Below are 27,259 nucleotides of genomic sequence, written 5' to 3'. Positions count from 1 at the left end.
CGACTTTACAAATGAAGAAATCAAAACTGACAATGATAAAGCGGCTTGTCCAAGCACACACAGTTAACAAGTTGCAAGCAGTATATTGGCTACAATAATCTTTTAAAGTTAAAGCCGATATTCCACTCTCATGCTTAAAACAATTTCATCACTTAGACTGGAAAGCCAGTGTTTCCCAAAGGCCTAAACGCCCCATCCTAGTGCCCCAGCCAGTCCTCTCCTGCAACATCATGTGGCACAGTCTAGCTCAAGTGGTCTTCTTTCCATTCCCTGAACAGACTGAGCTTGTTTCCACATTAGGACCTTTGCTCTTTCTTTGCTGCAGATCTGCCCCTAGCTGGCTCGTTCTCCTCATTTAGGTTTCATCTTACATGCCACATCTTCTGAGAAGCCTTGCCTGGCCAGCAGGTCTAAAGGAACCCCACCTCTCCTCCCCAGTAATCTCTTACAATACTATATTTGGTTATCACATTTTCAAGTGGTTCTGTTGGTTAATTTATTTTTATCTTGATGACTCTAATGTAAACATGAAAGCAGGAGTCCTCATTTGTCTTGCTCCCCCATGTATCCCAACACCTAGAACAGAGCCTGATGCTCAGTAGATGCTCAATAAATATTTGTTGAATGAGTGATTGAGCTGATATGACTTCAGAACCTTAGTTATTAGCTGCCATCATAGATTGTCTTTTTTTGTGATTATACCACATAATAAATAATCTTATATTTGCTATTTTTCTTATTCCTACTCTTACAAATCAGTTATAAATATTTATGACTCCCTTTCATTACACTTGCCCCCAGCCTGAAAATGTCTTATAATTGTTTGACCTGAGCACAATAATCAATTACTTGGGGAAAAAAATCTTCCGTAGGCAAACTTGTAGGAAATTATAGAAAAGTCACTTAATTAATTTTGGACAATATACACATTTCTATTATTTGAATTTTTTTTTCTAATTTCTTAAAAGCTGAATTAAAAATTTACTTGTGGAACAATTGTTCTTTATATACAGTAAGTAACTTATTAATTGGTACATTCATTTTAGAGGAAGCTTGGTAGTATCTATAAAAGTCTAGAAGGTTCCTTTCAGTAAGTCTACTTTTTGGGACTATGTCCTACTGAAATACTAGCATTAGCATGGAAAGGTAGGTCTAAATACAAAATTGGATACTGCAACATTGTACATAATGGTGAAAAACTGTATTCAATCTAAATGCTTATCAATTGATGATACTATAATTAAATTAGAACATATACATTGGATGGAATACTATGCAGTTATTAAGAAATAGGAAAGTCTGTACATATTTACAAGAGAACATATAAGAGATATACTAAGTTTAAAAGCAAGTAGCAGACACTCTTAGTATGATTTTATTTTTATAAAATAAAAAGAAAACAAAATCCCTAACTGTTTATATGGTGAGGGGGGTGTATGTGATTGAAAATGCAAGAAAAGAAGTCTAGAGAACATACAACAAATTGTTAACAATGACACTGTCTTAGGCATGATATTGAAGGTGGAAAAAACCTTCACAATTTTAATTTATATATATATATGTGGTTTGATTTTATTTCAACAAGAATGTATTGTTTATAAAAAAAAATGCTGAAATTAATGTTACTATCTTGGAATCAAAATGGAATTCAGAGGTTGGAAACAAGAAGCATTCAGGAATAGAGCATATTCAACCATTACTATGGAGAGTCCTGAGGTTTTTTGTTAATGAAAGGACCAGAATTGGACCTTGGGTGGAATAGGCATAGGAGCTACATACTAGCTGTGTGACTTCTAACAAATTACTCACCCTCTTGCTGCCCAATTCCTGGGCCAGTTAATAAGAGTGAATTATTCCTACCATACAGCAATCTTGAGAAAAGTATAATGTGTGAGAAGGACTAACTAAGGTTCTACACATAAAGAGAACACAATGGGTATTTATAACTTTATCAATTCACTTTTATTTCTTTGCTTCTATCGCCTACCTGCAACTAACTACCTTTTAATTTTTTCTCATTTATAGTTTTTCATTTTTTTTCATTTTTCTTTTCTTGCTGTTGCTTTGATGATTGCATAGGAAGGAGGCCAAGGCTAACATGGGGTTTGGCAGTTATCAGTGGACACCATCCTTATTTTCATCATGATGTATCAGGATTCGAGCAGATGTTTAAAGAAATCAAAGGACTATGCTCAAAGTGACACAGCTAAGCAGCTAGAGCCAGGGTTCACACCCAGGCCTGATGCTGTGCATGAGCACTTCACCACCGCACTGTATTCACACTCTCTGGGTTCTCCTTCTCCAGTTTTCAATCAGTCAGAATTAGTCACAACTCAAAAACATCGTCATTCCCTAAATTTATTCTATTCTTAAAAACCAGTGAGGGGGTGAAAAGATGAGACAATAGTTGGGTTAGCTAAAAAAAATTCCATTAGGCAAGTATTTACTCCTGTTTTGAAAAGTCTGTTTTGGCCACACATTGTGCTAAACCTGAGGGGTCCAGGCAGGGCAGCAACTCAGATTTTAGTGATGGACATGTTAGCAGTCACTTTCGCTGAAGTCCCACATCTGTTTTATGAGCATGTTCTAGAAAATTAAGTACATTGTTACTCATGCCTGGGAGACAGACCTGGCACACGGAAGTGGTAAAATGCAGGGGTTGATTTTTCATGATTTAGTAAGGCAGTGAGTGGGAAAATGGAGTAAAAGTATGCAAAACGCAGCAGGCCTGAACTTCAGGTGTGAATTGAGTACCACATTTTGGTAGGTGCAGGCCAAATTGGAGAATATTTTTGACAAAATTCAGATTGTACAGGGTATTTTGTGAGCAGATATTTCTGGATCTATGACTGCTACCTTGGATTTGCTGGTCTGGACTCTGGACCACAGAAGCCTTGGCCTATGTTGGCATTAGAATGACATGTTAAATAAACAATAAGCATATTTTACATAGACTATAGTAAGATACAGCTAAAACCCATTAGTTCCCAAGATTTTAGAATGTATTAGCAATAGCAATGTGTGTCTTTAGAAAAAATCTTTCACTCATTTGAAACCTTTAAACAATTTTTAAATTGAGGAACTTGGTGAGAACAAATTACTTGTTAGAGGTTCATCCGTTAAGCAGTATGTAGGGCAGTAGTATATAGTAACACAGTTAAGTAGAGCAGGTATATATGAATGAACATATTTCTCTTCATACAGTTTTTTTCTATTTTTCTTACTCAGGTTAATTTTGTGGTTTATTAATGGAAGGAGACAATAAAAGTATCAAAGTTTACTGAGCAGTTACTATATATTACATATTTTACTAAATTCTTCATATGCAATAGCTCAGGTAAAGTACAATTCTAAGTGAATTCTAAGTGAATTATAAATCATTAGCAATTTTGTATAGTCATAAATAACATCTTGAGAACATTTTCGTTTCATATTCTACTCAATCTATTAAATTTTACCCTAAAAGAAACATTTCAGGATGCTGTGTAATTGGCTAATTATCATAAAATCCTTATGTATTGCTACATTTTGTTTTGGAATTACTGTTTATTTCAAGCAGATTAAGTCTGTGGCTAATAATCTATTGAGAGTAAAGAAAATAATTTACTTATGATATAAATACCTATAGTATTCCTGCAATTATATAAATTGGCATTTGACAACATGAGTGTGTGAGGCTTTTTGTTTTAGTGGTAGATTATTTCTTTGGTGGCTTCCAATGAAGCATAGAATACACACACACACACACACACACACAGAGGCACACACACACTTTTTACTTTTTAAAATCTGGGTCTAGGCCTACGATTTATTTACTTCAGTCAATAGAATGCAGCAGACATGAACATGAAACTGCCAGTTTGAGTTCCAGGCCTAAGATTTATTAAGGCATGGTAGTTTCCTCTATTGTTTTCTTGGAAACCATCTGTCATATGAAAACTTTGACTACTCTGAGACCACCATGCTAGGAAGAAGCCCAACCTAGCCATGTGGAGGAGAATCGAGACTCTGGTTAACAGTCTTAGCTGAACTCCTAGGCAACAGCCAGTATCAGCGCTGGCACCGACTTGCTAACCATGTGAAGGCATTCCGCTTCTAGCCATTCCAGTGGCTCAACTGGCAGCATGTGAAGCATGAGAACTGCTCATTCAATGCACAGTGCCATGAGAAACAATCAATTTTGCTGATAACCACTAATTTTGGGGTACACTAGACTCCCCTTATCTGAAGGAGATCTGTTCCAAGAACCCCAGTTGATGACTGAAACAACAGGTAGTGCCAAACCCTATATATACTATTTTTTTCTATACATACATACCTATGATAAAACTTAATTTATAATTTAGGCACAGTAAGAGATTAACAACCATAACTAATAACAAAATAGGACATTTATAATAATATACTGTAATGAATCCTTACAGTGGCCCCATGGGGGAGATATTTATATTCCTATTTTATAAATGAAGAAACAAGGTTGAGCTTGGAACTAATCTCTATTCTGTCTATAAGCTCATGCACATCTTCATCCATACCATCCCAGAAACTATTTATGGTTTAAGAGATTATCCTATTTACCCAAAACTCTCATACAGAAGCAATGACTGGCAAAATAGGTAATTCAAAACGCATTCCAATAACACAAGAAAGTTTTAAAATTAGGTTAGATCAGAGGTTCTTAATCCTGGCAGCGCATTAGAATACTCTGGGGAGTTTTCAAAGGCCAGTGATAACCCTGACCCAACACAAACATGTGAATTAGAATCTCTTCAAATAGAGTCCAGAAGAGCTTTTGAAAATCCCCTCAAATGATTCCAGTGTACAGCCAGGGTGGAGAACCACAGTGCATATATAGAGCTTTATGTGAGTGACCCCTGGACTGAGTGTGAGGAATTCTCACATCACTGTGTAGAATCACGGTGTTCACATACAACAGATGCTCAACAGATGAGTGTAGACTCATTGACTGAAATCCTGAAAGAGCTTTGAAATCTGGAAAGTTAAGACAATGTGCATTGGAAAGTTCAAGTACTGTACAGACACATCGTAGAAAGAAAAAGTAGGAGATACTGAAAATAAAATTATGCCTTCATTGTTAGTTGGTCAATTCAGGATTCCCTGCAGACTGTTTTATGACACCATGATTTCAGTCTATCTTTATTTTAGTTATAATGCCTTGCATACCTTCCACATCCAAAGTGTTTCAGAGAAAAGCTACTGATATGGCACAGTGCATGGCAGTTGTGGTGGCTATTTTCCCTTCCCTTCCTCACTCCTCTCCTCTTCTCCCCTCTCCTTCCCTTCCCTGCCCTTCTCAGCAAAGAAATTAGGGAGATACAAATAGAGCTGAAAGTGCTAATTTCATACATTAAAAAATTAGCCAAGCCTGGGCATAGTGGCTGAAGTCTGTAATTCCAGCACTTTGTAAAGTCAAGATGAGAGGCTTGCCTGAGGCCAGGAGTTCAAGACCATCCTGAGCAGTATAGTGAGACCACATCTCTATAGAAAATTTAAAAGTAGCCTGGTATAATGGTATATGCCTGTAGTCTCAGCTACTTGGGAGACTGAGGTGGGAGGGTTGCATGAGTCCAGGGGTTTGAAGTTGCAGTGAGCTATGATTGTGCCAGTGCACTCCAGCCTGGGTGACAGAGTGAAACTCTGTCTCCAATATATATGAAGCCTCTAAATGAAAGCGAGGAAAACACCATATATATATATATGGTGTTTGTGTGCCTCCTCTCTTTCTCTTTTTCCCTCCAGTTGATAATGGAATTTGGTCCCCCAATTCTCAATTAAAGAAAACCAGGGCTTTAATATAACATTTTGTTTGTTCAATTCCTGTCTCTTTCAAAAAAGTATTTGAGGCTGCATAGAAATTAATAGTGTTGCAGAAAATTAATAAAATATAAAAAGAAGAGTGCTAAAATTTTGGAAAAGGGGATGAAACACTATGATAACCACATGAACTTAACAGAATTTTGTGAATGAGTAAGAAATTTACTGTGGGCTTCCCCAGTAGTCAGGACAAGAAATAAGTTTGCATGGTTGTCAAGTGCAGAAAAGAGGAAGTACATAGCAACTACTTGGGGGTGACAAAGAAACTTCTGCTTTGAAATGTTATAGGGGACGATGCGTGTCATGACAGCAGCATCCTTGACAACTGCTTCACAACAAATACAAAGTAGTTTCAATATTGCTGTTCCCTGTAGTTGAAGACATAACTTGAAAGCCAAACTCAGTGAAGCTGATCTTCTAAGATGTTGAATTCAAGGAGTTGAACTTATCTTTATAACATAACCTTTCTTTCTTCTTGTTCTTAAAATTTTAGTCATTTTCGCTTTCATTTAGAGGCTTTTTTTTTTAACATTACAGTGGGGATGAATGATTTCTGTTTTTAACCTACCACATTATTTTGCTTTTTCACCGTTAACTGTTTACCAATTGAAAAACTTAATATTTATTTTCAGTTGCTTGGGATTCTTCAAGGGTCTGAGATCTGTCTGCCCTGTCTTGTTTTGGCCTTTGTTTCCCCTAAAGTGATACCTTGTTGATTGATAAGAGGCTGACAGACTTCAGGTAGTTACCCTGAAGGGAGTACAAGGCCAGGACTCACATGTGTTTTTCTTGGCTATGGAAAAGGAGCACTTTCCTCTTAGGATCATGCAGCTGCAAAAGTAATGATGGGATTGAGTGGAGCTTGGAATCTTATGGTGCAGGTATAGGTACAGATAGAAAAACCGCAAACTGCTGTCTCTCTTCCAGTGTAATAAGCTAGCAGATACCTGACTGTACAAAAAAAAACCTTGAATCCACGTTTGGGAAGTTCCTTTAGCTTAAAGTCTTGTGCTGGTGTTGTCTGGGACTCAGCAGCAATGGTGAGCTGATTTGAACTGAATGGAGAAGGCTGTCTTATGCAAAATCTGTTTGTGTAAACTTGCATTTCACTTGTTGGCAGCAAACACTAATGCTCAAAGACACACTGCCACTCATTTCTGAAAAGCACCAAATATTTGACTTTTATCTGCATTCAGACACAATCAGTTTCAAGTTGTTTCTGTAGCTATCAAACGTAAATATTTTAGATACAACAAGCTTATGAATTACATAACTTATGCTATCATCCTTGGAATTATAATTTTTTTATGATATATTGAAAAATTTATTGAACACTTACTTTGCAAATGACATTATAATAAGTACAGAGCAGGGGAATACAGCATAAATAAAAGACATGGTAATAGCCTAATGTAAACTTTCAGTGTAGTTGAAAAGTGAATATTTAAATTAAATTAGTTAAATTATTAGAAAGTTGAATGTTTTTAGGAGAGAACTTTTTTTTATTATGGTAAAACATGAATATGAGTATGACTAGAAAGCTTGGGGTGACTCAGAATAAGAGTGTAATGAACTTAAAGAATGGTTCAGAATAGGTAGACTTTAAACCAAATATTTAAAAAGACAATTAGCAAGAGTTAATAGAGATGAGTGAACCAGGAAAGAGAAGGATTAGGGTCATACCTTGAACATTGTCTTCTGTTACCTGGAAACTTTATGAGATGGAAAACTTGCCTGATAATATTTTTTATTGCGATATAAAAATACAATCAAGAAGTTACTTTTAAAACGTATATAAGGCTCTGGTGAATGGATTATTTATTTCAATTATTTGAAACACAATATTGCAGCATGACAAAATGTTTTGAAATTATTTTTGACATATTTTATAACCGCATGTGATATAAACGTATACACACATGTACCTATATAAATGTTGTGTATGGCCCCAGTAAGTTCCTTGATGTTAAGATGATACTTCTTACAATTAATCTCCTTCATCTATCATCCTCAGTAGGAGTGAGTACTCTTCATGTGTTATTTACAATTTTCTAATTCAGTTTATCATTTCAAGAATTTTACATTTAAAAAGGCACTTCTTATCACTTCTCAGCCTTTTGGTTAAGATCAAGTGTAGTATCCATTCTCACCAGTTTAAAAAGGCATTTTTTTTGCTTCTATTGAAAAAGTCTGAAAACAATATCTTAAGATATCTTCTTATCTTTTAAATTTATTATAAAACAAGTTTTGAATTTAATTTGGATAATTTTGCCACATTATTTTACTTATCTTTTAAGATAATTGGTTTTATTTATTTTCGAGAGGTTTCAAATCTATATTTTAAAAACTCTAAAAATTGGGACTTCCCTTAACTGATACACATAAAATAGCTCTTAATAATATTGTAGTCATACCCCATTTAGACAAATTCAGTTGGGATAGTGAATTAGTCATGATGAAAGAAATTATTCTATAGTTTTTAATTGCTTTCATTCATAGTGTCTCTTCCAAGGATTCATTACCTTCTAATTCATCCATCTATCCATACATTCATCCATCTATCTATCCATCCACCTATTTTTTCATTCATTCATGAAATATGTATTAAGTACCTACTATGTTCAAGGGAATGTGCAAGGGAATGTCTGGATGGGTGAGAAGGTGTCATAAAAGTGAATAAATCATGAGACTTACGACTCTGGGAGACAGTAAGAAAAAATGTTAATTTCTGTAAATAAGGGCTAAATAATGTGCTTTAGCAATTCGCAGATAACAAGGAAAATTTCCCACTTTTAGAGAGATGGAGTGAGTGTTTCAGAAATGCTTTGTCATTGAAGATGAGCTACTCAATTTTTGTATTTTTGTGGATAAGGGAAGGTATATTTTACTCCTTTTAGGAAAACGAGTGATTGAAGATATCTGTTCTCAGCTCAGAAGGCCTAGAATATGCAAAGATTTTTCAAGACATTGTTAGCACATCAATGTCTATTTTTGGTAGTTAAAATACAGAAGTTATTAAATACTTACTAAAATTACAAAAAGTATATGAAGTTATCTGCCTTCAAAGCCCATGTTCTTTCCTCTGCTTCCTACTGAAGAAAGCTTAGTTACAATACTGCCATGTTTTTTAAGAAGTGTTTATTGTTACCTTTGCTCTTTGCTCATTTTTTCTTTTGTTTAATATTATTTTCAGAGGCAAAATCAGTAAAGGCTTGGAGGATTTAAAACGTGTTAGTCCAGTAGGAGAGACATATATCCATGAAGGACTAAAGCTAGTAAGTTATTTTACATTTGTAAATATGGGAGAGAATGCTTTCTTATTCTGTGGTGAAATAAAACCCTCTAGCAAAGCTCAGTAACCTCATTACATATTTATCTTAAAGTTTTTAAAGTGCTTTTAGTTGTTCCAGAGTTGAGACAAGTAGAAAAAATTATTTACTATGGTGATGAGAAAAGTTAAGATGGCTTTTGCCTTTTAAGGAATTTTCCATTTCCCTTGTGGTTATATTAAGATTAAGCAGCCACAGCTAAAAATCTATATAATTTAAACCCAATAGTAACTACTCTGTAATGTGAATATATGCATATTTCAAATAAAATAGTTAACACAAATTACCCTGTTTTAAAAGCTAGCCAGTAATATTTTGATTTTGTCAGACTTACAAATTCAGCTTGATGGAACATGCTGGTTAAAAGTTAAAATTAAATTGTGAGTTGGATAATTATTCTTCATTTTCAGGCGAATGAACAAATTCAGAAAGCAGGAGGCTTGAAAACCTCCAGTATCATAATTGCTCTGACAGATGGCAAGTTGGACGGTCTGGTGCCATCATATGCAGAGAAAGAGGTGAGTATTGAACTGAGACTGTTCTCTACACCCCACTGTACATCGCTGTGTGTCTCGGAATGTATAGCTTGATATTTGAATAATTCACTTTCTCCCTCTCCCCTCTCTTTTTTTCTCTCTTTCCCTCCTCATTCTCCATAGGCAAAGATATCCAGGTCACTTGGGGCTAGTGTTTATTGTGTTGGTGTCCTTGATTTTGAACAAGCACAGGTAAGTTACAAGAGATCTGCAAACTTTAATCTGAACCACATAATTGTCTTAAGGATAGTTTAACAAATTCTTTTCACTGATGACATTGTGACACTGGTCGATTGTTAAAGATTTTTTATAGAAATGGCTGTAGGTTTTGAGTACTACCTTAATAATGTAAGAATTTTAATAGGTTTTGTTACTGAAAATGAAACTTTAAATCTCTCAATTGTTTGGTTTGGTAAACTAATATAAGGTAAACATTTGGCTTGAAATGATACACATATTTCTCTTAACTCAATTGACAAAATGTTATTATATTATATATATAATATGTAGTCATATTATTATAATGTTAGAATTTCTATTTTATTTAGAATTTGACTCTAATGAAAGTCCATCTAATGAAAGTCTGATCATTTTTCTTACAAGACCATTTTTTTCATGAGATTTGAGGGTTTATATATTTGAAAATGTTTCACTCATGAAGTTATTTTACGTTTAAATTTTTGCTTGAGCATGGCTTAGACTCCTGAGTCACGCTGTTGATAGCTGTTAGATTTCCTCTGCACTGTTTTGAAATTGCACTTGGGGCCAACTTAAAGGTACTCTGACTGATCTCAATTCATTTTGTGGTAATACATTTAGAGTAACACTAGTATCATCACCTTTAATTCCTGACCTTGAACACAGATCACGCTGGTAAATTAATCCTGTGGGGTAATTTTTCAGATGAACATAACTGAAATGTAACGAAGTTTATAAATTGTTGTATGTGTCAGCCACTCCTTAATTAAGTCTTCCTCTTCTTTCTAAAGCTTGAAAGAATTGCTGATTCCAAGGAGCAAGTTTTCCCTGTCAAAGGTGGATTTCAGGCTCTTAAAGGAATAATTAATTCTGTGAGTATTTCTCTGGGGGCAGGAAGGGCTCATAACCTTGTATATTTTTTTAATCTATAAGAAGTAATCTTAATATCCAGTGCAGGTGGTCATTATCTAGAGGAAAGAGATTAAGGAAGAGATTTGTTTGGTATTGCAAACAGTGTAATTCTAAAGATGTGAATTTTGTTTGTAACTGACATTTGGTATTAATTCTTGCATGTTGGGCTCTGTGAGACTGGGTTTGTGGTTTCAAGTTTAAGATTTTAAGTCTCAGACACTTTCACCCTTTGATTCTGGAGTTAACTGTCTTGATATCCTGAAAGTTTTATAGGTTTTATAGGAGAAATTTAAAATAAAAATTTGGATTGATGTGTGATTACTCCCTTCTCCAAATATAGTATCTGTTTTAACTATATCAGTCAGGCAACTTGAACTAGTGGCTATTTGACTACATTTGTTGTTCTTTCCATTTAAATGATTAATAGTTTCACTAGAGCACATAATATTTCTGTTTGGAATTCAGTTGTGCTGTCTCTAGTGATCATTAGAATCTAGGCTATCCTAAACAGGGTTTGGGGAAGGAGAGTGATGAAATGCAAAGCAAAACTCCTGGGCTTTCATAGCTGAGGTTTATGTTTCATTTTACTGCCTTTTGCTACAAGCACTGGGAACAGTTGCTATTAAGTATTTATGATATTTTGGTAAACACCATCCTAAAATGGAAGTGAATAATATATATTCTCTAAGCCAAAGCATTGAAAAAAAATCTTCAGGGGAAAAAATATCAGTTTCTTCTAACATTTGGTTCTGGGATTTTAAATTTCTCTTTAAAGATCATGTTGTTTAGAAACACAAAATGAGATTTATTGTATTTGTTTTTAGTAGCACGTAGGCTTTTAAAAAAATTAATGGAGCTTTTCAGAGAAAACATAATTTGGTTTCATCACTTATCAGTACATCTAGTGGACAAACCAAATGTAAGTGCAGAATGGAACAGAGATTCAATTATTTTTGTAGTTTACATATATTGTTGTGTTTAGGTTTTAGGGAATAGTTGCAGTGTAAAAATAGTAAATAATTTTATAGCTGGATTCAGGATAAATAAAACTGATACAACTGTGATTTAAGTTTTAAAATACAGGATACAGTACTGACAATGTAAAAAGGAGGATAATTTGACCCTCTAAATAAACAAATCAGTGGATTGTATTTTAAATAGAATTTTATTTTGCTCTGGGATTTGTAATGATTTTTATAATTATACTGGGAAGGAGAAAGGACCTCTCTGGGCTATTCCTTTGGATTTTTTTAATATCTAAAAGGTTTAGCTCAGAATTACCCAGATGATGGATTGTTTCCAAAACTCTATTTTTATGGGTAATAACTACAGATTTCCCCTTCAAGGAATTAGTAGCTGAGTTCCAGATGACATCGTTATCATTGTTTTATTATGTTTGTTGGATACATTTAATTTTTCTATTTTTATTAGGGAACCTCTAGAATGTAACTTCTAAGTATGGCCTTTCTTGCCTAAAGTTCTTGATGAACTTTAACTTAAGTTATGTTGAAAGATTTAGCATGAAATTAGGAAAATTTGCATTATTTTAGCCACAATTTGCCAACAAAATCTCTTGAGTGTTGTTTGGAGGGAGATCATGGGTATAGTTTTCATGTCAATACAGTTAAATTTCAGCTATGTGCTCACAAAGGGAAGAGTAAATTATTCTTAGGAAAGTCACCTTTTGGGGAAACATCGTAGTATCTGGCAGAGTTGGCAGGTGGAAAGAAGGAGCCATTACAACCAAACCTGGTTTGATTAATGGTTGAGATTTTTATCAACGTGATTGATAGTTTGAGATTTTTGCCCACTTTGTAGAAATTAAAGGCAATGTAAACTTTCATGTATTTTCAAGGGCAAAGATTGCTCCATCCCTCATAGTATACAAAACCTATAATTTTGCCTTAAATTTGAATTGGACTTTATAATTGCATAGTACCATCTGATTTTTAAAAATATCTATTAGATCTTTAAAACAAATATAGTGTTTCTGTCACATGGCTAGGAGAGATAGAAGAGACTATACTCTATTCTTTATGATTTATCAAACTAATGGGTGAAATTATACTGTGGAATGTATTTACATAAAGCTAAGCCAATAGAAGAAATAAAAAATTTTAAGTCTTTCAGATATGTGGCACTATGAAGGCAGAATATTTGCTAAATTGATAATTTTTTTTCCTGCTCATTGTTTTTTAAATAAATCTGGCCTCATTGTCAGTGCATTAATTTTTATGAAGTTAATCCTTGAAAAAAATTGACAACATGGTTTTTATTGTTTTGTTTGTTCTCTCTCCCCTCTAAAATCCAATGACCAAGATAGTCTGGTCCCCTTAATGTAAGATATCATATATTGTTAAGACATCATTTGTCTAGAATTAATTTCTTAATAGCAAAGATTAAGAAAGTTTTATTTTGGAGCCTTTCTTCATGGTAGTTAAAAAAAAGAAGAAACACTGTAGTAGTTCTGCTTTTACAACTCAAAAATCAAGGGGCTGAAAAAGGCCTTTGTTATGAACATCCTGCACGTTAAAATTTTAATGCCTTCTCTAAAATGTATTTGATCCAGAAAATCACTTAAGCATTCTATTTTAATTTTGGGGAAAATGCATTGTTTTAGTATTTTTAGATTTCTATCCAGGCAAACATGGTATGTAACAGTTTTGGGGAATATTGATGTAATTTCCAATCTTAGCTAGTTGCATATGAAGGTTTGTAATTCATTATCTCAAGTATATACTGGAAGGAAACATTTCTTCTTTTTCTCCTTTTTTTCCTCAATGAGCTCATTCTTTCATTAGTTCATTTACTGAGCCCTTACTATTCTTAAGGCATTGTGTTATGATTAGAAGAAGGATATAAACTTGAATAAGACATATTCTCTCTAAAGGGGCTTGAAATGAATGATTATTTGAGGTTTGGAGTATGGTAGTCCCCTGAAAGATTTACAAAGCATTGTGGACATTTAGAGGAGGAAAATTTCAGTGAGTCACCTTAGGGGATAAGAAATAATCTTATAACGCAATTGGTGTTAAATGCCAATATGCCTATAGTGTAAGGTGACATAAAGACAGGATGGGTTTAGTTATGCGAAGTTATGGGAGGCCTTTCATTGTGAAATTTGAACTGGACTCTGACAATTGGGATAGATTTAATGAGAAACAAAGAGCACAGAACTTCAAGAACTATCTGAGCTGACTGGCTGAGGTGTAGGCTGGAATGTGGTTTGGCTAGGATCATGGGAGGTATGGGGGATAAACATTGACGGGTAGCGTGGATTCAGATTATGGAGACTTTCACATACTTGTTTTGAGAATGCGCTCATATTTCATAAATAAGTAGGAAATTATCGAAGATTAATTTAGAGCATGGGATTTATATAATGGCCATGCAGGTTTAGGAAGAGTACTCTTATAATAATGTACAAGATGATTTGGAAGATGATGATGTGTTATAAGTATTTTGCTGTCATCCTTGTGAGACACGATGAAAGGAAGCACAGCATAGTGGAGACAAAATGCAGTTGGGAATAGGAAAACCTGGGTGTGAATTCCAACTCTGTCTTGCCAAGTGACCTGGGGTATGTCCGGCAATGTAATTTCTCTGAGTTTTAAAACCCTCAGTCAAATGGGAATAGTGATTTCCATTTTGTTGTTTTATTTTTTAAATTAAATGAGATAACAATTGAGAATGACCTAAGTTAGAAGGGCTTGGCTTTAAATCATTTGGTAGAAAGCTAGGCATGGCAGGAAACTAACCCAGGGCTAATGATGGGGCTCCTGATCCTTCTGTCGGGCAGTCCACTGAGAGAGATGACCCCCAATCTACTTAAACAAGGTCTTAGGTACAAAAGGACATGGCACTGACATGTAAGAGGATCAAATTTAGGATGTGAGTCATGACAACAAGGATTTTTAGATAGTGTAGCACACAAAGTCAAGCATTTGGATGTGCGCTGGTATTAAATCCTCAAGCCGTAAGATCAGGACCTAGCCAACAACTTGGAAACAAAATTCAGTATTCCCATGACAAAAGCTATGTAGAATTTCTGGACCGCACATTCAGAGGAGAGACACAATTCCTGTGGTGGGACTTATAGTACTAATTAGAAATTCAGAGAAGAAACTCAGTAGTTTTGGAAGAAACAGTGGATCATCATAGTTCCTTAGGGATTATTCTTGGCACTGGGATTCTGTCTTTCGCAATGGAACTAGGTCAAGGATCATGAGGGAAGCACCTAATAACCTCTTTATTCTGGCAAGCATCATGTCAGGAACAGGGTGGGGCTAAACCTCCAGGTATAAAATCTTTGACTCTTGTTGAGCTGGGCTCCGAGAGACATGGCAAATATTAGCTGTCAAATGTTAATTATTGTTAGTATTAGGATGGGCAGTGAAACTGGAAGTAAAACGTTAAATTTGGGAAGCATTAAAATATTAGTAGAATTTGAGAGCTCACTGGCTATAGGGTTCAAGAGACAGAGAGAGGAGTCAAAAGTAACTTGGGCATTCTGTCCCTGACTAAGATGAATGACTAAGAATAGAGCAAAAACTGTTTTTACAGAGGGGACAAGAGGGTTATTGTACAAAATGGAAGAAGGCATAGGGCAGAGGGGGAAGTTGATTTGAGCTTGAGAACAAAAGCCCAGTGGGGGATATCCTTTAGGGAGTTAGAGGCCAGGTGGAATGGAAAGGCTAGAAAACCCTACTGTCATTATGCTTCCTCATTTTCTTTCTCCCCTCCCATTGTCCACAGACACAAGCACATATATATATTCTCTTTTTCACTTTCCACTTCAGATTATCTTTAAATCCTTGGAATGTTAAATTATTTTTGTGTTCTTGGGAAGGTGATTGCATGACTTATATTTGAAAATGAAATTTTATTTGAACTAGTAAAGGTCAGACTGAGATGTGAGTACCCTGTGGGTTCTAGTTCAATGTTTCATAATGCAGACTATGGAAGATAACATTAAAAATAAAAGAAAACCACAGATTGGTGAATAATATGGAAAGAATAAAAATCAAAATGTTCTGTGCCCTTCCTTGTGTAAAAACAGGACCATGGGATGTTTCACTATTTGGAATTATTCCCACATTTTTTTTAAGAATACCTCAGAAAGTATTAAGCAGAAAGAAATAAATCAGTTGTGAAGCATGTTTTATAAATAACCCTTGTCCAAAAGAATTGAGAACACTACATCCTAGGTGATGGTAGTTAATGCCAGAGTTTCTAAGTTTTTAATGGGAAAGTATACAAGCATAAATAGGAAGGGAACGATCATCCATACATTTAGGACATTTAAATAAACCTGAATTAGATAGTTTCTAAAGGGAAAAGTGAAATTTCAAAAAGTACCTACATTCATAGTGCTGGAGATATAAGCTTCATTTCACTTTTGGAGTGGAATTTTTTTCTCAGCAATGTCTGTTGTTGTTTGTTCTTAGAAAAATATCTAAGAAGAAAAGTGTCTAACACTATATTTTATATTGTCTAACACTATATTTTAATGGAATGAGAAGACATTGCAAACACATTTTCTCTTAAGGCAAATCATTTTCATAGAAGAGGGAACCTAATAAACACTCTGATAATACCTTAGCTTAAGTGATTTTAGCACACTCTGCTATGAATGTTGACCACTTAGTTGTGAAAACTTCTATTTGTAAAATTACGGTTTGATGAAAAACCTGAAGCCTGAGCAACTGTAAAGATACATTCATAGGAGAAACAAAAATGGTAGGACTTACTCAAAACTGGAAACCAATTTTCAGGACTCCTGTTAAAAAGGACTGGCTATAATGTAAGAATAACTGTATATCAGATTATTCTAGGCTTCTCTTTGTCCAAGGATCATTAGCGCTGAATGTAGATGAGGTATTTCATTATAATAACTTTCACATTAATGGTATGAAGGTTGAAATTGTATTGCCCCAACTCCTGTTTTTGTTTTTTTTTTTTTTTACCTAATGCTTAATCTAGTGTTGGGTAAGTAGTCATTGCTTAATTCATATTTCTGAATTATAAGTAAATAAAATCTATGCAAGTTTTTGAAAATATTCTTATATTTTTATAATATAGTTATGGTATATTGGAGCATTAAAAATTAACCTCTGATTCCATGTGCATTAGATAAATAAATAAAATGAATAAAAATCTATGCAAGTTCTTAAAAATGTTTTTATATTTTTCTAATGTAGTTATGGTATATTTGAACATTAGATAATTAACCCCTGATTTCATATAAATTTGATTTCATCCTCATATTTATGTTTCACTGTATTAAGACTCTTTTGATTTCACATGACAAGAACTCAGTTAATAATAGTTTAAGGAAAAGAAAAATAGAATGTTACTGGCCTGTAACTAGGTGGTCCAGAGAGGGAAATTACCTCAGGTACAGCTGGATCCAAGGAATCAATCATGTTGTCAGGGTCTTCTCTCTCAGTAAGTTTTGCCTATGTTTCTATTTGCCTCATTCCTTGTTTAGATGAATGGTGGTGAACTGTAATTGCAAAAGGAGGCTTACATGGTCCTCAGCAAGTATATTGGAAAGTGAGGGGTGTTGTCTTTGCATCAGTGTATAGGGTCCCAGATAAGAACTCTAATTGATTCGGTTGAGTCATGAGCTCATTCCTGTACCAATTCTGTTGGGGGCAAGGGAGAGAGGGAGAAGAAGGCACTGTGATTCACAGCCTCACTAGGACCACATGGAGTGGAAAAGAGTTTCCCAAATAGAAAGGAGCACTATTCATAGAAGTGTAAGGGTGCAAAAGTGTCCAGGGTAGGAACAAAAAAATCAGTAGTGATGACAGCTCACTATATTCAAATACATTTAAAATATTTTGACATATATTCTAAGAAGACACCCCATTCCTCCGAAATCCCACTTGATAATAAACATAGAAAGTTTCCTTTAAATTATTCATTTTATTAACTGATCTTATTTTGGCCTCTACTGTCCAAAGCTGTATTTGTATTTGCATGAAAATATTCCCTAATAATATTATTATTTTCTTTTTTTTAAAAAAAATTTGGTTGGGATTGTAGTTTAAGAAAATTAAATCCACTTTGAATAAATAAGTACAGCTTTGTGATAGTTTGTGAGAAAACTAAACTAAACTGATGACATTTGGTTACACAGATAAAATGAAATTCCAAATTTTAATTTCTTAACATTAACCTGTTGGACTATAAAAGGTGTCCTACAGAGGCTTACCTGCTCTTAAAAGCAGATTTAATTGAGTGGAAGGAAATTGAACAGGTGCAGAAAATGGTTAATATTTGTCACCAAATGTACCATTTGGTGTACATTATGAGGAAAAATGTACAATTTCTCAATTATACTTCATTTTCTCCAAATATAATAATTCTCAGTTGATTCAGAAGCATTTGTTGGGTACTGGGCTGTGTTCAAGACACTTTGCTGTGTTTTGTATTACCAAAATGGGTATGGTCCCCAAACTCTTCAGAGCTTACAATTTTTAGGATGTGTATTTGGAAAATTAATAGAAGAATTAGTAAGATATTTTTTCTATTATTGTTGCATAGGGAAACATTTCATTTGCCATCCTGGATTTCTGAAAAATCAAATGGAATAAATATAGACTAAGACTGCTTGGCAGATATACTTCATGTCTTAGTAAAACAAGAAAGTGGGCAAATAAGGCTAATACAAAATAATGTTTGCATCAGAGTGAAAATTATACCATGAACAAGTTTCTTCAAATTCTGAAATAGTCTATTTATTATTATTTTATCTCATAAGTTCAAGGCAGTTTTTATAGGAAGCTTATTTATTTTCTAAGCTAGCATTAAATGATTATTTTGAGTTTGTGGTGACCAAAGACAACAACGACAACAGCAAAACCAAAAAGTAGTGGCAGATAAACTTGTTTCCAATCACAAACTATGCATTTTTGGAATTTTTTCTATATTGTAATGAAACAGCAAGACTGCTAATATGATTTATTTTAAATATCAGAATTGTGAGATGTGGAAGAAACTAAAGTTTTAAAAAAGATTTATTATATGAGAGTATGTTCATCAACAATGTAATCAGAACTATCCATCTGTTTTGTTTGGAGCTCAGAAGACTAAAAGACAATGAGTATGATTTACCTTCTTCCACAGTTCTCTTAGGGTAAAAGTTTGTTTAGAAATTTGTCATGTGTGCTTTTATTCCTTGCTTACTTGCAAGACAGAAGAGAATCCATATTTAGAAACTAGTCAGAGTGGTGTGTGCTGTATTGAGCAACTGATATTTTGAAGCTCTAAGCATTTTTAAGGAATGAACTCAACCAAAACATGTGATTATAAAATAGCAATTGTTCTTAGTTGAAGTATTACCCCTTAGAGAAAAATATATTTGGCTGGGGTGTTTGGAAGCCATAGAAAAAATAAAAATCACACATCTGAATATTAAAAGGTGAAAAGGAAACAAGACAAGAGGATGAGAAACACCTTTCCAGTTGTTTTTGCTGCTTATGTTATGCAGTTGGATGTCTAATTACTAAAGCTTCATTTTGTTAGACCTTTAAAACTAATACTTTTCATATATTTTCTCCTGATTTAAACTTGAAATCTTTTTGTATTGGGGATGAATCCTTTAGTGTTTAAAGCTGCTCAATGAGTCAGGAAAAAAAAAAAAAACCTTGCTTTTTTAGACTCTACTACCCTTGCCAATATTTTCTGACATGCTGTGGGTCATGGAAATTGGCAGTTTCTATCTGTTAAGGACACACCTGGAGCACTTGTAAATTATTTGTGATGATCGGTTGCCAGTGATGTTATAGATCCAAAATCAGTGTCAAAAAATTCTTGCTGAGGTGAATATTTAGAATTTTTAATAGATTTGTAAAAATTTTGGAGAACTTTAGGTAGCACATGTGAATGTATATATGAAGAAATAATCTATTTTGGGGAGGAAAAAGCCTTATTATTTAGAGTTGATCCTAAAAAATGTTATTACAGAGGAAACCATTTAATGGGAGTTAATACCCCTTTTCTCTTTTTATATATTCTACCTAAAATAAGACTTTAAAAAGAAGATAACACATAACTTAAGTTTGTTTCTCTTCATGTTGTTTTTGTTTTTGTTTAGTTTTGCATCTGGTCCAATATGCCTTATAGGTACTATTAATTACCAAAATTTGAATTTATCCAAATAATTTTTTTCACTGTGTGTAACTGAAAATATGCTTTGATTAATTCAAATAACTTCTCAGTAAGCTCTGTATCTTTTTACATGCATAACTCTTAGTGTTATATGCTCTGTTTTTTATGTTATAGTCATAATGGCCATGCTTCTTATTAAAAAGTTTTGCATTTACTTTTTAATTAAATAGAATAAACATTCATTGAGTAGCTGCTATTCATAAGATATTGCGCTATATACTTTTTATATTAGATTGAATTTTGAATATGTGGTGTTATTCATTTTAAAAGTTTTTATTTCATTCTTCTGGAATGGACTGCATTCTGTTTTCCAGATATAGTATCCTTCCTGTTGCCACTTAGAAATTAGAAAAAAAATATGGATTTTAAAATATGTCTAGGCTTATATTAATTGTAGGAGGTGTTTTTGTTTTGGTCAAGCTGGGTGGTTGATCTTCAAGTCCTAAGGTCTAGCTCATAGATGTTTCTCTCAAATTCAACATAAACTTCAAAGACAACATAGGTCCTAAATAATATTTTGATTTTATCTCCCCATCTTAATTTATTGCATGATAAATTATTATCTTGGATCGACACCAACTACAACTCTCCACAAATCCCATATTACTTTAAATACCAGAAGAAAAGGCCATAACTATATCCATTGTGTATGTTTTTCAGGACATGATATTGCTTTTATTACCTCTTATGTGTCCTACGTTTGTTATTATAGCATGTGTCTTTTATGTAAACATATTCAGGAACTTACAAGATCTCAATCAAAGTATGATTCCACATGTATCATGAAACCTCTAAGAAAGAAGAAATTAAGTCAAGGTTCTCACAAAACTCATGCCTTCTGATGATTTCTGGTTATTTTTGCTATGGATGTTTCCTTGACAATACCAGCAATTTGTCTTTACCGTCAGTTATTATTCAATAGTTGTAAAAACTTGATTGTAACCATATAGGCAAGCAAGATAGGAAACTTCTTTGTAGCCCGTTGGATTCTTGGAGTATTTGTCCCTCTGACTTAGCGTTGGTTCTCAACCTCCAGCAAACCTTGCCAATTCTGATTCTAGAGTGAATTTCTGCCTCTTGTCATGTAGAAAGGAGATTTGGCCTTTGGTGAATCCATGCAACCTGACCATATTATACTAGATATAGACTCGATGCAAATTAATTTGGGACATTCCTAGAGTGTCCAGGCTTAAACACTGTTCTGATGCTTCATTCAAGTTGGGCTTCAGAGAAGAGACAACAGTAGAATCTACTTTCATCTCCTGCCAAACATCTATAATCTCAAGGAGGCCAGCAGGCAGGGCAGTCACAGCTGACTCTTACGGCTGGATCTGGACTTGCTGCTAACTGAAAACAAACCCAGAGGGATACATAAACAGCTTTATCTTATCCTGCACTTCTCCCTTGCCAAATAGAAAAATTCCATGAAATTAGTTAGCAGTGTTCCCTGAACTATTGAGAATATTTTGCTTATCTGAACTGTATAAATAATGCATCAAAATTTTATACGATCAGTTAGAAGCAACAGAAAATGTCATTATAATTTATAAGGGGTTAATGTTATTATCCCATCAGCAGTTTTATCCCAAAAACTTAGCAAAGGGAAAAATACTTGGGTTTTGAATTTCTCATGTTAATACATGACAGACTTTTTACCACACATTTTAAAGGAGGCATTCAAGACACATCTTAAGTAGGAGAGAAGGTTTCAGTGAGAAAGGATAGTGACTGTTATTGCAGAGATCAAATATTTAAAACTAGGCATTTAATTCACTGGCACAATATGGAATGCAGCCATTTTATACCAAATATCAGAATTTAGAACTCAATATGTTTTTTAAAATTCCATATTTGTATAAATTTTTGGGGTACAAGTGTAATTTTGTTACATGAATATTTTGCTTCAGGATGAAGTCAGAGCTTTTAGTATGGAATAAGACACATTGTACCCACTAAGTAATTTTTCATCCTCCACTCCCCTCTCTCCCCCATGCTTGTGAACTCTTTTCTATTGTATATTTTTAGCAGACTATCAGCACAAGTCTTACAGATAGTATTGTGTATACCAATAGCTATTTTGCCTAGACGGATTCCTCCTGGAAGTTCATACCTTTATTTCTGCCTATTCTGTGCCCTCTGAGAACAACCATCGGTTAAAAAGGTTTTAGAGACCCTGTGATTCACAAATATAAGAGGGAAAGAAACTAAGAAAAGGAAAAACAGAGAAATTGGCCTTATAGGTAGACCTGTTTTTGCGATGTTGGGATCCCATTTTAGATTTTCCCTCATGCTGCTTGCATTTCTTGCTTTAAAATTGTTAGACTGCCTGAATTTCCATGCACAGTTATTTTTCATAGCTTAACAAACATCACTTTGAGTTTACAATATTATCAATTCACATATTCACATTCAATATAAAGTATGAATGAGTTCATGAGATAAGAATAGGTACAATAAAATGGAGTATTTTGGGAGATAAAGGAAACCTATATAGAGAGCATATTTAGAAAAGAAGTAACTGTGTGTGTCTAGCAACCTAGGTGAGACAGTGAGGGGGAGAGGACCAAAGGCTAACATTCCATATGAAAAATGTACCCAATGTCTTCTCCATGTCCAGAAAAAGTATAGAGAAAGAAAGAAAAACACCCCCAAACTTCTGCCTCACATTTCTGCTCCCAACTCAGGTAAATTCTAAAATTTTAGAACTATGAAACCTAGATGTCATTCACATAGTTAGTAAAGAAAATGTGTTCTAAGATCATATAACAAATTTAATTTTTATAAACGGAGTTTTGCAGTTTTCTAAGTGCCTGTTGTCTTCGAAAACCAGAGTTAGGGCTTGTGGTAGCTTGTTGTTCTAGTATGGCCTCTTTTGTCTTTTAGGTTCTGAATGATGCTGAGAAGTAAAAACTATGTATTTTTATCTGTGCAAAACAAATTTGAGATAGAAAGCATTAATACAGTAAGACAAGAAAGAAACATAATAATAAGAGAGAGGGCCCTAAGTATTTGGCTATCTTATAAGTTACTAATTCATAGAATGATTAAACATTTTAAATCCAAAGTCAATGGCATTAGGAATTTTAAAACAAACATACATTCTATTACAAAGATACATGCATGCGTATGTTTATTGCAGCACTATTCACAATAGCAAAGGCATGGAATCAACCCAGTTGCCCATCAATGATAGACTTGATTAACAGAATGTAGTACATATACACCATGGAATACTCTGCAGCCATAAAAAGGAATGAGATCATGTCCTTTGCAAGGACATGGATGGAGCTGGAAGCCATTATCCTCAGCGAACTAATGCAGGAACATAAAACCAAACACTGCATGTCCTCACTTACAAGCGGGAGCTGAATTGTGAGGTCACATGGACACAGGGTGGGGAACAAGACACACTGGGGCCTGTTGAGGGTGGGGTGGGGAGAGAGAGAACATTAGGAAAAATAGCTAATGTGTGCCGGGCTTAATACCTAGGTGACAGGTTGATGGGTGCAGCAAACCACCATGGCACATGTTGACGTATGTAACAAATCTGAACATCCTGCACATGTACCCCAGAACTTAAAATTAAAATTAAAAAAAAATTTTGAGAAAAAAGGAAAGAAGATCCTAACAAATAAAAGCAAAAGCTTAGTGATATACTTTCGAGGATAAGGAATAAGCCAGATTTTAGATTGTTTTTGGTAGCATTACAGGAGTCCAGACAAAACAGGCAGATACATTTCACTAGTTTGTTAAGAGTTAGATTTTGTAATGGTTAGATTATCCATCACAAACCTGGAGGGTGGTGGAAGGTGCTGGCTAGAAGAATGGGGTTTGGACTCAATAAAACCTGGGGACAACCTAGTTAAGAGCTAATTCTTCTAGGGCAGTTAAAAAAATCTTTCTAAGCCCCAGTTTCCTCATCAATAAAACATGGATAAAAATATTTGTTTATTAGACTTATGAGGATTAGCTGAAAAAAATTCATAAAAAGCACTTAGCATAGTTGCTGGAACATAAGTGCCCAATGAATGGTTAACTATTATCATGTTAGAAATTCTTTTGAATTTTGGACTACTGATACTTGTACTTAATTTAGAAAATTTGACTTTTTGTTATCTATATTAATGTTTGAGGACTTAAAACTAGGGATTAGGTAATAAGGTATATAATTTTTTTATTTGTAAATACTCCTTAATACTAATATTACTTTTTGGGTGAACAGATGCTTCGATAGTATACTTTTTCATGGTGATATCAGGTTCTTTGCCAATATGTGTGTGTGTGTGTGTGTATGTGTGTGTGTGTGTGTCTATGCATGCGTATATATCCCCCAAAATATCAAATGATGAAATTTTGCATTTAGTGTGTGCATGACTTAACATACCCTAGATTTATTAAGCACTTGATTTATCTTTAAATTTGATCTATTGGTCTATGGTGCTGTTAGCTCTCTCTAATATCAGCTAAGGCTATATTTAGTAGAAACTATTTTCTTTTACTATTGAAACATAATGATGACAGCATATATTAGAGGGAAAGTCCTTACAATTTTCTCTCTTGTACCAATGATGGAGTTGCAAAGTATTAAAGATAATTTGCCATTTATTGTGGATGGGACACCTGATCCAATGTTCAGTCAGTAATATTATTTAATTTGGCAAAAATTAACTGGAGTGTTTAGAATGTTTCTCCTCCTTGTCAGTTGTTTAGAGATGACAGTTTTAATATAATAGACTCATTTTGGTTTATTCTATTTTTTCTTTCCTTTCAATTTTTATTTTAGATTCAGGAGGTACATGTGCAGGTTGTGCAGGTTTGTCACCTAGGTGTATTGCATGATACTGAGGTTTTGGGTCCAGTTGATCCCATCACCCAGGTACTGAACATAGTACCCAATAGCTGGTTTTTCAACCCTCATCTCTCTTCCTTCCTCCCCTATCTAGTAGTCTTCAGTGTCTACTGTTCCCATCTTTACGTCCATGAGTACCCAATATTTAGCTCCCACTTATAAGTGAGAACGTGCAGTCTTTGGTTTTATTTTCTTGCATTAATTCACTTAGGATAATGGTCTCCAGCTGCGTTCATGTTGCCTCAAAGAACAATATTTCATTCATTTTTATGGCTGTGTTTTATTCCATGGTTTCTATGTGCCACATTTTCTTCATCCAGTCCACTGTTGAGGAGCACCTAGGTTGATTCCATGGCTTTGCTGTGAACAGTGCTGCGATGAACACATGATTGCTTTTTGGTGGAAGAATTTATTTTCTTTTGGATATGTATCCTGTAATGGGATTGCTGGGTCAAATAACAGTTTTAAGTTCTTTGAGAAATCTCCAAACTGCTTTCCACAGTGGCTAAACTCATATTACCACTAGCAGTGTATAAACATTCCCTTTTTTCCACAACCTCACCAGCATTTGTTGGTTTTCGACTTTTTAATAATAGCCATTCTGATTGATGTGAGATGGTATCTCATTTTGGTTTTAATTTGCATTTCTCTAGTGATTAGCAACGTTGTGCATTTTTTTGTATGTTTGTTGGCCACTTGTATGTCTTCTTTTGAGAAGTGTCTGTTCACCCATTTTGATATCTTGAACATTTCAATTTGTATAATTACTTGGTGAGAATAGACTATTAACTTGTTTTTGTAAAACTGTTCAAAAAAACTTATGGTGCAAACTATTTGCATTCAGACATCAAATTATTTTGATTTCTAGTTGTTGCTTTCTTAATATTGGAACATGGTAAACTCTAGATGGAAAAGAACAAATTTAGAACAAATTTTATTTTCTAAAAATGCATAAATTCTCTTCTTACTCTTCTCCCTCCTCTCTATTTTTCATTTGGAAATGGTTTTGGTGAAGTTTGTTTCAAATTATAGATTTCTGGATTTCCAACATTCATAATTTATGGAAGAAATAGATGCCTCATCACATAAATTAACTTTATCCTGACTCATCTGTGTCCTAATATGATTGTTGGTTTGTTAATAAGACTTTTTAATATCCTCATTAATTTATGTGTTCAATGTTTATTCCTTAAGCATTTATTGGTTGTACCGAAGGCACAAAACAATGTGTAAGGCCCTGAATGTGCTGTATAGTATAATTCAATCTCATTTCTTTCCTCAAAAAGTTTGTTTTCTAGTAGAAGAGTTGAGTTATGCACTAATAATATAATTTAAGGTCCAAACAGTTTTTTTTTATAAATAAAACAAACTTTAGAGAGGAGCATATGCCATGGAAATTCAATTAGATAACATTAGATTGTGATACCAATGTTATGACTTGTGCTCTCACTATTTGCTTTTCAATGAATGTGTTACCTGAGTCACTTTTCCATTCAATTATATTATTTTTAGAAAAACTTATTTTATTAAAATAATTATGAATATTGAATTAATGTAAATGTATTGTTATTAGCAAATGTAAGCTATACTGTTTACTGCAGGATATATCTAACATTAGCTATCCTTAATCTCTGCTTAATTTAACTTGATTTCTTTAAACTCAGACTTTAATAGAACATAAATTGTTGAATCATCCTGAACCTCTTCTTTAAAATTAAAATACCTTATAGGGGATATACAGGGCCTGGCTCCAAAGATGTAGATCACCAGCAGTCCTGGAGGGTGTTTGTTCTTCAGCCTTAAAGAGATCTCCTTAGGAGAATTGCTTATTTGATATTGCTATTGGAATTCTCATTTATTTAGAAATGTTTTGATGGATTGGATCAAATTAAAAGACCAAGTCAACATATGCACAATTATCTTAAATATTATGAAATCTGATTGACTTATGGTCAGTGCTGATAGAAGAGAGAAAACAAATATAAAGTTACAAATTCACTGAAGTCATTCCGGATGCATGTTTTTTGACATGATCTTTAGAAAATCCTTTTGTAATTTTTTGATTTACTTTATTCTGAGGAATTGCAGAGAAATGGTTTCTATTGCCAATAGATGTAATCTTTAAGTGCCTCATAATTTTCCTGAGTACTTGAAATATTTTTTCAGTAATACTGATAAAGCTGTGGCTAAATAACTAAAGAGATTATAAACTGAAAGATGCAATTAGTCTCCTTAATAAGATCTGTTTTAAGATAAATTCCTTCAGGACTGATGACAGACAAAATAGATTTGGGGGTTTTGTGTTTTCCTTTAACCTTCCATTTTGATGGTTCACTGTTGTCACTGTTATCTCAGATTGGCCAAAGCTATAGCTATAATGTCCATTTTTGTTAGTTGGAACCTTTTCAGCTTCATATTCCTTT

At 34.0% G+C, this 27,259-nt stretch overlaps 1 protein-coding gene and 1 pseudogene across 4 annotated transcripts in view; both read left to right on the top strand.

Moving 5' to 3' along the window:
• ANTXR2 (ANTXR cell adhesion molecule 2) overlaps nucleotides 1–27,259 on the top strand; it is a 172,327-nt gene that overhangs the window by 8,431 nt on the left and 136,637 nt on the right. For all 4 annotated transcript variants that reach the window (NM_001286780.2, NM_001286781.2, NM_058172.6 and 1 more), the window contains exons 4-7: nucleotides 9,029–9,110; nucleotides 9,575–9,682; nucleotides 9,824–9,892; nucleotides 10,690–10,770. In NM_001286780.2, the coding sequence (NP_001273709.1) occupies nucleotides 9,029–9,110; nucleotides 9,575–9,682; nucleotides 9,824–9,892; nucleotides 10,690–10,770 (340 nt within the window). The remainder of the gene's footprint in view (nucleotides 1–9,028; nucleotides 9,111–9,574; nucleotides 9,683–9,823; nucleotides 9,893–10,689; nucleotides 10,771–27,259) is intronic.
• On the top strand, nucleotides 7,937–8,053 carry LOC124900918 (uncharacterized; annotated as a pseudogene).

Source organism: Homo sapiens, chromosome 4 (assembly GCF_000001405.40).
Source record: "Homo sapiens chromosome 4, GRCh38.p14 Primary Assembly".
Classification (NCBI taxonomy): domain Eukaryota; kingdom Metazoa; phylum Chordata; class Mammalia; order Primates; family Hominidae; genus Homo; species Homo sapiens.
Note: the sequence above shows the minus strand (reverse complement) of the source record. Positions and strands in the feature narration are given on the sequence as shown.